Source organism: Homo sapiens, chromosome 8, assembly GCF_000001405.40.
Source record: "Homo sapiens chromosome 8, GRCh38.p14 Primary Assembly".
In the NCBI taxonomy this organism is placed as follows: domain Eukaryota; kingdom Metazoa; phylum Chordata; class Mammalia; order Primates; family Hominidae; genus Homo; species Homo sapiens.
This window is the reverse complement of record NC_000008.11, coordinates 3,395,437-3,408,569: the sequence shown is the minus strand read 5'-3', so window position 1 is coordinate 3,408,569 and position 13,133 is coordinate 3,395,437. Positions and strand designations below refer to the sequence as shown.

At 36.1% G+C, this 13,133-nt stretch overlaps 1 protein-coding gene across 3 annotated transcripts in view, besides 1 other annotated feature; it reads left to right on the top strand.

Moving 5' to 3' along the window:
- Nucleotides 1–13,133, top strand: part of CSMD1 (CUB and Sushi multiple domains 1) — a 2,059,554-nt gene that overhangs the window by 1,586,345 nt on the left and 460,076 nt on the right. For all 3 annotated transcript variants that reach the window (XM_011534752.3, NM_033225.6, XM_017013731.2), the window contains exons 14-17: nucleotides 345–671; nucleotides 2,349–2,543; nucleotides 9,041–9,179; nucleotides 12,189–12,376. In XM_011534752.3, coding sequence (XP_011533054.1) covers nucleotides 345–671; nucleotides 2,349–2,543; nucleotides 9,041–9,179; nucleotides 12,189–12,376 — 849 coding nt within the window. The remainder of the gene's footprint in view (nucleotides 1–344; nucleotides 672–2,348; nucleotides 2,544–9,040; nucleotides 9,180–12,188; nucleotides 12,377–13,133) is intronic.
- Nucleotides 10,623–10,792: an enhancer, noted in NCBI's record as "experimental_103217 CRE fragment used in MPRA reporter constructs". NCBI's record gives its function as "activates a minimal promoter by MPRAs in K562 erythroleukemia cells, with activity observed for both the introgressed and non-introgressed 8:3255385 variant alleles {active_cell/tissue: K562}" and the evidence as "EXISTENCE:reporter gene assay evidence [ECO:0000049][PMID:34662402]".

Sequence of the window (13,133 nt, the reverse complement as noted above, 5' to 3'; positions counted from 1 at the left end):
CTTTTCCATATTAATATTTGCTCTTCTGAAGGCAGAAAATTATAACTAGAAATTATAATATTTGGCACACGTTTTCAGTCAACTGGAAAGGATCATTTTTGAACCACGCTTGTGCTTGATTATGTATAGGTTCTGGTTGTGCTCTATATGATAATGAAATATTCGACTTACAAATTAGGAAAGGAGAAAACATTATGGTCCAGAATTACTTATATTAAAATAGTTGGATCATCATAGCTATTTGCAGGCATGAATTGCCTTTCCAGGTTCTTAGCTGTCTGTTTCACATGGCAATTCTTTGGATATGTGCATAACTGTTTGAAAATATATTTGCATCTTCACAGTTTCATGTTTCTTCAACTTTACGGCATCATCTGGGATTATTCTGTCACCAAATTATCCAGAGGAATATGGGAACAACATGAACTGTGTCTGGTTGATTATCTCGGAGCCAGGAAGTCGAATTCACCTAATCTTTAATGATTTTGATGTTGAGCCTCAGTTTGACTTTCTCGCGGTCAAGGATGATGGCATTTCTGACATAACTGTCCTGGGTACTTTTTCTGGCAATGAAGTGCCTTCCCAGCTGGCCAGCAGTGGGCATATAGTTCGCTTGGAATTTCAGTCTGACCATTCCACTACTGGCAGAGGGTTCAACATCACTTACACCAGTAAGTACGCCCACACAGTCAACACATCCAAGTTCTCATTTTACTTACATGTTCCCATTTTGCTTATATGTATGTGAAGTTGCATTTCAAGGTTGATACTTCAGAGGTTTTATAATCATTATGAAAATGACAGTAGTAAAATTATAGTGTTATCCTGAAAACTTAAAAACAAATGTATCACTGTATTTAGATAGGTGGCTTCATCACTCCTAAACTAAGAAGCTGGATCTCCTCTCTCTTTCATCTCCTTACATCTCTTTCTCTCCGGTTTTCCATTTATCCATCCATCCATTCATCCATCCATCATTCTATCCATCCATGCACCCACCAAACCATTATTCCATCTATTCTTCCATTCATCCATCCATCTGTCCATCTGTATCCTTTCATTCATCCATCCATCATTTCATCCATCCATGCATCTATCCATCCTTTCTTCCATCCATCTTTCCATCCATCCTTCCATCTATCCATCCATCCTTCCATCCATTCATCCTTCCATCCATCCATCGTTCCATCAATCCATTGTTTATCCATCTTTCCATCCATCCATTCATCATTCATCCATGTGTCCATCCATTCATCCATTATTCCGTCTATCATTCCTTTTATCCTTCCATCCATCTATCAATCCATATCCTTCCATTCATCCTTCCCTTCCATCGTTTTGTCCATTTATCTATTATTTCACCCATCCATCCATTCATCCATATCCTTCCATTATCCATCCTTCCATCTGTCCATCCATCCATGCATGCATGCATTCATCCATCCATCCTTCCATTCATCTTTCCATCCATCCCTCCATTCATCTTTCTTTCCATCCCTCCATTCATCCAGCCAGCCAGCCATTCTTCCTTTCTTCCTTCTATTCTTCCTCCCATCTATACAACCATCCACCCACCCACTCAGCCACTTATGCATCTTTCTTGCAACAAAGTAGTGTAGTAAAAACAACTGTGTAATATGATGTCAGGAGCCAAGGATTAAAATACAGCACTAGTATGTAATTAGTGAAGTTTAATGACAGCTCATTCTCTTTGCTTTAGGCTCCTCATTTTAAAACCTATTTTATGTAAGAATATCTACTTAAATGCACTGTAGATGGAATAAAGTGAGAGAATATTAATATGAGTAATACTACATTATGATATGCTAACTGCCTAGTTTCTTAGGCAGAATACTTAGAATTGGACAATAATTGTTTCATTTAGTGTTATAGTAACTAGAGGATATAAATTTAGTAGTCTCTCATTCTGTAAATAAAGATAGCTAGGCTTAGAGCGTCAGAGTCATATGCCCAATGTCAGAGTCCTCTGACATAGTAAGAAAAAAAGTCAGGATTCTAACGAGAGAAATCTTGAGCCCAGACACTTTCTACCACCCACCATATCAGTTCTCTCTTTGTCTAAGCTCCTATGAAAAGTGCTTTTCAAACCCTAAATTGCTGCATAAATGATAGTTATATTTGTTCATCTCCCTGCTCGCTCTTTCTCACTAGACACTGATATCCTATTTATTAATGTATTATCTATCTATGAATGATACAACTGAAATTTATATAATTATATACATTATATGAATGCTTTATAAGCTTGTTCTGTTTTCTTCTTTTTTAATACATGTAATTAATACTCAAGTATTTTTATTCCTTTTTTCTTCTTCTTTTTCTTTCAGCATTTGGTCAGAATGAGTGCCATGATCCTGGCATTCCTATAAACGGACGACGTTTTGGTGACAGGTTTCTACTCGGGAGCTCGGTTTCTTTCCACTGTGATGATGGCTTTGTCAAGACCCAGGGATCCGAGTCCATTACCTGCATACTGCAAGACGGGAACGTGGTCTGGAGCTCCACCGTGCCCCGCTGTGAAGGTGCAGTCCCTGCCACCCCCCGCTCTTCTCCTTTGAAATCACACATCTATCTTCAGGCACACACACAAACCAACAAACTGTGTTAGCTTGCTAGGGCTGCCCTAACAAAATACCACACACAGTCACTTAACCAACAGGAGTGTACAGTCTCCCAGTTCTGGAGGCTGGAAGTCTGAGATCCAGGTGTCATCGGCAGGGTGGGGTCCTTCTGGAACTCTGAGGGAGGATCTGCCTCAGGCTGGTCCTCCAGCTCCTGGCGGTGTTTGGCAATCTCTGGCATTCCATGGCTGGAGAAGCCTCACCCTCATCTCTGCCTCCAGACTCAAAAGGAGCTCTCCCTGTGTGTGTGTCTGTCCCTGTGTCTAAATTCTCCTTGTTAAAAGGACACAATCATATTGGATTGGGGGTCCCCTTCTTCCAGCAACACCTTATCCTAACTAAATTCATCTGCAAGTACCCAATCTTCAAATACAGTCACCATCTGAGGCGCTGAGGGTTAGGACCTCAATGTATGATTTTTTGGGGGGACAGAATTCAACCTATAACAGTGTTGCTTATGGTTAACTATTTTGTTGTTCTTGTTACAGCCGACATAAATACCACCTAATTTTCTTCTTCATATTTCTGTTCTGGTTACTTATCTAATAAATATAGAGAGGAAAATATTTTAAGGAAAAAGATGTTGCCTCTAATAATTACTCATTTTAAAAATGTTTACTTAGAGTATATGTTCACAGTCCATATCAGAATAGTCAGTGCGCAATAAGCTAAGAAAATATTTTTAAAAAACTTAAAAACTTACCTCTAGTGTATATCAAAGAAGTACAAATTTAAGAAGAAAAGTAAAATATCATTTTTGTCTATCTTGTTAGCATAGATTTAAACAGGTGAATGAGACGTATTATTGAAAAGGTTATGTAGAAACTGGCATTTCCTAATCATACTATTGATTATATAAAATCATGGTATTGTAGTGTAAATTCTTAGTAGGACTCTTAAAATTATTCTTGTCCTTTGAGTCATAAGTTATATTCCTGGATCAATATCATAAAGAAATAAGCAACTATACAGGTTTTTTTCAAGAATGTTTTCTGCAAGACTATTTATAGCAGTGAAGAGTTGGAAATGATTCAGCTTCAAACAGCAGAGGACTGATTAGATAAATCATGAAGAATAACAGGTATCAATACAAAGATCATAAGCTCAAAGCGTCTCAGGTGTCCTTAGCATGTGAAAAACAGAGGATGCAGGCACATGTGTCATAAATACATACATATCTCATGATAATAACTTTGTAAAACACTAAAAAAAGGCTACACACCAAAATGTTAATTATGGTTATGGGTGATTTTTCCCTCTTAGTTTATTTTTATTTTCTCAGTTGTCTTTAGTCAACATGTATTTATTTTTAATAAGTGAATAGAACAGGAATATATGTTAAATATCATAAACAGTTGAGAATTTCTGCCCTATCTAAAATACCTCGGAATAACATTCTCAGACCCATCATCTCTATCAAGGACTCTAAGCAGAGCTGGGGTCTAGGTGTGGAGCATTAAACTCCTCCATGACAACCACAGTATGGTGGGGGCATGATCCTTCACCACCTCATCCTGCCCTGGTCCCACCTCCAAAGAAGTTACTCACCATTACTCAAAGTAGAAACGCAATTTTTTTTTTTTTTTTTTTTTTGAGATAGCGTCTGGCTCTGTCACCCAGGCTGGAGTGCAGTGGTGCAATCTCAGCTCACTGCAACCTCCGCCTCCCAGATTCAAGCAGTTCTTCTGCCTCAGCCTTCCTGAGTAACTGGGACTACAGACACCTGCCACCACGCCTGGCTAATTTTTGTATTTTTAGTAGAGGGGACGTTTCAACATGTTGGCCAGGCTGGTCTCAAACTCCTGACCTCAGAGGAGAAGTAGAAACTTCTAACCAGGTCCTGTTTATAGTATCGTCTGGTAATACTACACGTAAAGGAGGGTATTCTGATGTTCACCCTTTTCATACATTGTTAAAACAATTTGTGGGTGGACAAGAAGCACCACCCATGGGTGAAATATTGATAAATAGAAGGGCAACAAAACCCTCTTAATAGCTGAAATTTCATTTGTATGTATTTCCATCACATATGGTAAATGTACAGTTTTTATGTTTTATGCTGTACAAAATGTTAATAAATGGGTAGGTTTTCATCTTTTATAAATGAGTAAATATATACACATGTGGTGCTCAAAGATATGATACTAATGATAGGGCACAGTTAGTCACAGGTGCAAATCGTATTCTAGCCAAGCATATTTCACTGACTTGGAAGCATGAATTTTCAGGAGAAAGAAGTTTAAAGTGAACACTACACTCTCATCTCTGTTCTGTCCTGGCCACAAGTCAAGCTGTGCCTTATGTCCTTTACCATAATAGGCTGATTGCAGATATGTTACAACCTGCAGGGTGAGTGTGGACCACAGCACAAACAGGATGAGGTTAAAGGCAAAACCCAGCTATAGGTTGTTAACAAAGGAAGCCCTCGGCAGAAAGAAAAAGTTAATAGGAAAAGATGTTAAAAGTCTACCTGCGTTGAGAAACCTAATGACTGAGTGCAGCTGAGCCTCAGAGAAGGTAGGGGACGCTCCGATGGAACAGGCGGGTACCCCGATCACTGCCTCTGCTGAAAACAAATAGAAAGCCAACTTTCAGAAGTAAATGCATCTAGTAGGGAAAAAAATAAAATAGCAATGAAGCAGTGAGTAATACAGATAACAAACTTGATTTAAGAAATGTTTGAAGAAGCTCACATCCCTTACAGAATACTCTTATTTATTGTTTTTCTTGAAAAGTGTTTTGTTTAAATCAATTATATAACTGACCACAAAGTGAACCTTAACAAATTAAAATAAGTTATAGGTCTCATGCCCTGTAATATTCCAATTAAAGTAGAAACATGTAATAAAAATAGAACTACAAGCAAATGTCTATCCATAAAAAGTCCACTATAATTTTACATTAAAGAGAAACTCAAACCTTAATGCCTATACTATCCCATCTGGAAACCATTAGAACAGTACTTTCTATGAGAAACAATGTGAGACAGCAAAACCTGTGTTTCAAGGAAAATGTCTATCTTTAAGTCCTCTAACGTAGAACAAAATGATCAAAAAATAAAGAAATTTAATAATAAGATTAAAAAGTTAGAAAAAACAAAAATAAATTAGGATCCTATTAATAAAATTCAAGTGTTATAAACAATTTAAAGCAAGAGTGAGTTGTTAATATCAATAAAATAGACAAACTGTTTATGATTCTGATAAAAAGAACTAGGAAAGAAAAATGTTATAGATATTTGGTAACATAAAAGAGAAATTATCCATACCATAAAAATAATATAACTTTACGTAAACAGTGAAAAGCTCACAATAGAGCAATTTTTTTATTTAAAAGCGTAGGTTATTTATTTATTCTGGCAGAATTTTCTGGATGCCAGGCACATGTTGAGTATAAATTTTATGGCCTCCGGGCAAAAGGTTTCTCTTTCTCTCTTTCTTCTGCTTCTAACAGGCTCGTATTCCTCAATGCAGCTCAGTGGCATCATGAAAATCTCAAGCTATTTTGGGGAAAAATGACTATACATGAAAACACCAACTCTGTGGCAGCAAAGCTTAAAGTCTGTAGAAAACGGGTGATTTTTTTAGCAAAAGATAAAATACCAAAAATGACTCACATAAAAAGTATAAAATGTGCGTAAAGTAGCATAGAAAAGAATTGAAAAAAAAGATTAAGGATTGAACATTGAAAAAGACACAAGTACCCTACAGGGGTGTGAGTGAGTTCTCTTTCAAGTCTAGAGAACCTTAGTGTTGTGCACTATCACAGATAATGGAGAAGACAGGCTGCATCCTTCATAACATTTCATCAAGCCAGCATTAATGTAACCCCAATGAGATTGTTCTAATAAAAATAAAGCCATAGGAAAATACACATATGTAATCAAGAAGGGGTGTATGTGTGTGTGTGTATTTTAGAAATACAGTATCAGGGAATTCATCACTGTAATTTAAATCATCAAAAAAAAAAAGCAAAGAAGAAATTGCTTTCTAAACACCTCATTGGCTCATTGGTATATTTGCTTTTTTTGTTATCAGCTAAGTGAGTATGAACATGATTGATGATGTTCATCAAATATTTTTGGTCTCCATCAGGTGGAATGTCTTTTCTTGAATCTTGTAGATTAAAGGAACCTTGTCATGGGTTCTGGTCAATTAGGTATATGAGGAAATGCTGTACTCAACTTCTGGGTCAGCGTCTTTGATTGCTTTCCTAAGACCTTTTTCCACCTGCCATAGCAACTGAAGAAGGGACCTGTGTCTCACAGACCTAGACATGCCACATTTGTGAGAAATTCACTTCCAACTGTAGCTACTACAGTTGCAGGGCTGTTAGTTACGGCAGTGTAATCTAATCCAAACTGACTAATACAAACTTATTACTTACTATTTACTTACTTACAATCTACTTACTGAGATCATTATTATTTTAGTGTAAATTTTGCTCATCGGCAGTGTTATTATTAAAGTGTCTATTTCATCAGGATAAAGCAATTCAGGTTCTAACATACACTGTAAATTACAAAGTGATGGGTAAGAGTATAATAAAATAATTAATATTTGGCAAGTTAGACATATTCCAAGAAACATAAAAATGCAAAATAAAATTACTAAAGTAAAGGAAACTTTTGGTTGGTTATGTATTTATATGGAAATTCACACATAGAAATAACTTATCATGCAGATTTTAGAAATTGCTCAACTATCATAATTTTTTTGGAATTCTGCATCTGCCATATGTCTTTCTTATATAGTATCTTTGGATGGTTAAACATGACAAAATAAAAGTTATATATTTAACATATTTAATTTTGCTTATGTTGTATTCATAAAAGAATGTGTTGCATTGCTTTAAAAAACAAAAGAATTGAATTACATATAATTATGTATATCGATATGTGATTCATAGGCTGCAAATGTGAATTTAAGAAATTAACAAGAAAAATTAAAATATTAATAAGTATAATTTTGGTTGTTTTAAAAATTATCACAAAAAATCAAGTGTTCTTCAGGAGCTCAAGTTAATAAAAATTACCCTGCTTTCATATTTTTAAACTACAGAATAATGCATAGGTATAAAAATAACAATTGCAACTTATTTGGGAAAAATATATATATATAATATATCAAAAAATATGATCTATAAAGCAATCCCAGTGCTATCCATTATTAACATGTTTTTAATTTCCACTGCCGTGTTCACTGAATAAAATTTTTCTTTTATTACATTTATAACAGATGGACAATTTTTTATCCACTTTTCAAGTTTAACATTCTATTGCAAAGATTTTCCCATATCAACAAAATTTCCAAACGTTACTTCAAATATATTTGCCACATTCCAATATATGGTCATGCAGTTTCCATAAATTTTTGCTTTTATTTTTTCTGTATTTGTTTCCTGACGTAAATTAAGATACTATTGGTAAATCCATAAATTTCACTAATTCACATTTTTTCTAGCATCAAAACATGGCTAAAATGATATAAACTTTTTGCATTTTTACATTATACATATGGCCATTTTTAAATAAAATAAATATTTTTTCCAAAAGGATTTTTTCACCTTGGAGTATTTTCACGTACTTTATTTGATATCTATAAATCCACAAAGATGATTGCTAATGGCAAATAATTTTGAGAGAGAATACATAAAATCTGAAAGAAAACATGTGGCCAGGGACATATTCTTAATTACGGTATGAAATATTGGTATGCTATTTAAAATTCCTTTAGATGATACAGGTATGCATAATCACTTTCACTGAGCAGTAATTATATACCCTTTCAAACTTTATTTCTCCTTTGCAATTACAAATCACTGTCACAAAACCTTGCAAAAGGTTCAATGCAGTCTAATTCTACACTTATCAAATTTGATTGAACATTTTGTTTTGTTTCACACTCACAAATAATATGTTGCATGTGGCTATTTATTTTAATAAAATGCACACAATGGAAGTAAATAAACACATGCATACACACACCTAAGGGTGTGTATATGTATCCATCTTGAGATGTAAGGTCATTTTACATTTGCTTATGTATAGATAATTGTTAAATTCCAAATGCATGTAAACTATAGATAACCGGGCATGTACGTAATGAAATGGTTAGCAGTTAAATGAGATAATTCAGTTAGCACAGAGAACTCACGTATACATTACCATTACTAGAGAAAAAGAACTTTGCTTCAAGGTAATGGTAAGTACATGGAGGTAGCATATATAGACCCTGCTTTCAATAAATGTACAGTTTCCTTGGGAATAAGATTTGCTTTGATACTTGAAAATATTCAGTCTATGAACACAGAAGCAGATTCTGGCTTTTATCCGGGTATTGTTATGGCATATCCTTCTGTCTCATTGGATCTAATAGATATTCTACGTCTTGTTTTAGCTCCATGTGGTGGACATCTGACAGCGTCCAGCGGAGTCATTTTGCCTCCTGGATGGCCAGGATATTATAAGGATTCTTTACATTGTGAATGGATAATTGAAGCAAAACCAGGCCACTCTATCAAAATAACTTTTGACAGGTAAGAAAAAAATTAGTCTTCATTTGGACCCAATGGTGTGTGTCTCTTCCATAGTTTTAGTAAATGGATCTTAAACTTTAAAAAGATGGCAGTTTTTTTCGGTTCCCGCATAGGAGCACACTTTACCAGAAACAGGCACTTACTTGTAAGTTTTGTTCTTCTTCAGTGGTATCCTCTAAGCCCACAGTGAGCCAATGCTCTGGAGGTTAGTAGGGGAACTGCCAGTCCTGGAGGACCATTCCCGAGGTCCGACCCTTGTATCTGACTCTGGGTTTGGGACCTGCACTGGAATCAATTCAGCTTGATGTCTGATTGCACATGGAAACCACTCTGGGTCCCATGGTCCCTTAGGTGTCTTCTGTGGTAGAGGAAATCAGCTCTCCTGTTCTGGTGGTGGCTGCTGGTCACTCGAGGGCAGCTAGTGATGCTGAGCGGGCAATGGGGTGCGGACAGCAGATCAATCACCAACTAATCGCCTATGAGTGACATTATCACTAGAATGTTGCTTGGCTTAGCTATTTAATAATGCATTTCATGATCTAAAAAATAAGCATGCTGGGCTGCGTAGGTATTTGTTTATTAAAAAATAAGCAGGCTATTGGAGTTCTATATAAGAAGGGTTTTCCCATTTCTCTCAACACTGAGACCAAATTGATGATTAAAAACTAAAAAGATTTTGTCATGAGCAACATGAACCAAAGGCTAGGGAGGCATCTTTGTTGAAAGTTTCAAGGTTATTCTCTGCATAACATTGGGCTTTCTCTAACAATGACCTTCTTCTTGACTAGACTACATTCTGGATTTCAGTATCCGGAATATTATGGTGTCTCAAGATAGATGAACTTCATTGTATTATTATCTTTTTGTTTTCAAATGATCAATGCTAACATCAACACAGGAAAGGTTTTTCAGCAGGAGTTGTGTTAACTTTCAGTAATTGTATTTATTTGAAATAATTATTTTTATTTTTTCACTTGCTTCTGACAAAATAATAATAATCCCCAATAGCACAATCTCTTAGAACAAGAGAAAAAAGTTGTTTATAAATCCATCTATATTAGAAAGTGAATTACTGTGTATAATCAATCATTTGAAAAAATACTAACTCTGTAAGTATTCAGTTGATTACGTTGGGTTTCTTACTAATTTCTCCACTTACTGGTATTGGCAGGCGGAGCTGAAGCACGCCCTGACTCCCAGCAGCGTATCAAATTTAAGTAATTTAGTAAAAGTAGTGATCCTATATTCTTCTCTGGCCAGTCTATTAGCCCTCTATTTTCAGTTGCCTGAAGGAAGATATTTGCTTGATTTTTCCCAATCTCATTCATTCAGTATTGTTTCAGTGTGATGTTTTGCTAAATTCCATTTGGAAATACCCGATATTTCTGATATTTTTAGACATGTGTGATCTGTACTCTAGACATAGTACACAGCTCTTAAAAGATGAATTGCATAAGGAAATGTTCATTTCCACCATGACCGATGGGCTGACACCTTAAAGGATGGGATTGTGCGCACAAATTCTGAGCTCTGTGCTGATGGTATTGCCAGGCGGTGTGTGTTAGGCTGCCCAACAGCAAAGAACATCCAGATGTTTCTGTTTCCAACGTCATCCTGGAAATCTTCCAGCTGTTGAAATAGGCACTTTGTCAGTCCTCACTGTTACTAAAGAAACAGGATAGGACAACTTCAGCATGACTATGTCAAAGGAGATTGCTTTCACGCTTAGCCAGACTTCTTGAATTTGAACTCAAACAACTGAGAAATCAGTTTTAAGAAAAAGATTTAGAATAGTGTCATAAGACAAAGTTGGCACTATGCAATCCCAAATGTGGCAGCCTGTGGCCTTATTCTGGTCCAGATGTGTGATATACAAATGGTTCAAATTCCTCTTTATGGAAGAATGGGGCCCAGGGTACCACATTCACTAGTTGCAGGAATAGGTAATCATGTGCATTTGCACTAATCAGTGTATCCATGATCTAATGTATACAGGACACAGCCCTTTGGTTTCAACATCGTTTTCTGTTGCTACACGCCATGAGGCTAAGATTGCTTCCCCTCTCCCAAGTTTTCTCCCAATTCATCAGCAACATCCAGCACAGAGCTAATGGCACAGGCTTCCGTGGGATCCTTTGGCTCAAAGTGACTGAGTGAGTCAGAGTCTTATGACGCTTAAGCTGCTCCCTGAGAGCCAAGTCAGGCACTCAGAAACCGGGTTAGCTCTTCGAGGATCAGATAGGCCCACTTAGAAAATTATCTCCGTGCCTGGAGTGGTACCTACATTGCATCACAGGGGAGCCAAGTGGCTGCAACTTTATATATATATATAAAATCTCAGGCTAGATTCTCGGGAAGCATAAGAAAACTTAAGCAGTTTTTGGAAGCTGTTGTAACTTTCTCAAGTTATTAAAGTATCCTTTCATGTCTGAAATGGCAACATACCCATGGTTGTTCTAATGTCTTGAAAGAGTTATTGCAATTTAAAAAGGCACAGGATTTTTTTTTTCAGGAAAGGTGTTTAAACTCATCACACATTTTTAATGATCTTCTTTGTTTAAGAGATGATTTCACTCTAGTGCACCCATTTTAAGATGTCTATAATTATGTTAAATAGGGAATGGTAAAAATAGTTTAAAAATATATAATTGAGTTTTTTCTATTTGGGAATAATCTATTTGTCTATCTATCTATCTATCAATCTATCATCTAAGAAAACTAATCTGGTTCATAGTATTTTTGTTTAAGCTGAATAAAGGCCTCCTCTTGTGTCTGTAATATTGTAAGACAGAATATTAGATAAGAGAAAGGGATTTAAGCTGTGCCGTCTCATCAAGAAAAGAACATACTATCCTTATATTTGTACCCAAGTTTTAAGCATATGTAATTTCAACTATTTTCTTCATGTTAACGTACATGGGTTTCTGATTAAGGAATGAGGATGTCAGGAGCACGTCTGTAAGCTGGCAGTTCTGCATGTCTTTTCTGATGGGATGTATATATTTGCAGATTTCAGACAGAGGTCAATTATGACACCTTGGAGGTCAGAGATGGGCCAGCCAGTTCGTCCCCACTGATCGGCGAGTACCACGGCACCCAGGCACCCCAGTTCCTCATCAGCACCGGGAACTTCATGTACCTGCTGTTCACCACTGACAACAGCCGCTCCAGCATCGGCTTCCTCATCCACTATGAGAGTGAGTTGCACCTTCCCTTGACAGCCCGGCAGGGCAGCATGCATGGGAGAACTAAAGATCTGGGTTCTTATTTCCAGCCTGCAGATGACTGTGCTAGTTTACTGATCCTGCTTGACTCTAGCAAAACCATACTATGCAATTGTAAGAACTTTCTGTTATTCATAAGAGAGCATCTTGGAATTACTGCCTTTTAACTCTCAAAAATACGTATCCATCGCGTATGACAAAGTAAAATAATAAAAACAATGAAATGGGTTCATCTTCTGCATAGAATAATGGAAGTAATAATATACTTCTATTATTAGAAAATGTACTTTCTGAGCAAAAGTCTTATAGGATATATTACTAAAATTATGTTAACCTGGGCAATGGAGAAAAGGATCCTTGCTAGAAAAACAGGGTTAGGTCAATTTGTGGTACCGAATCTGAGTATAGATAGACACGTTTCACTGGGTGAAAGTCAGGTAACAAGAGGCGAAGGAATTAAAACCTGCTAAACCTTACCAAATTCCAAACAATTGTTAACAGTCTTTCAACAAGCATGAATAATACTTTAAAACAATTATTAAACATATTTTAAAACAATTGTCAAAATATTATAATGGAATGTATTTTGCAAACAGTCCAAACTTCCACATGGAAAGTTTTCCTGCCCTTGTTTACTGAAATCAAAGTTTTAGCTTCTGAAATGATGAGATTAAGTAATTGTATTATTTTATAATAATATTTATGCAAATATACTTCTGAAATCTAGCTG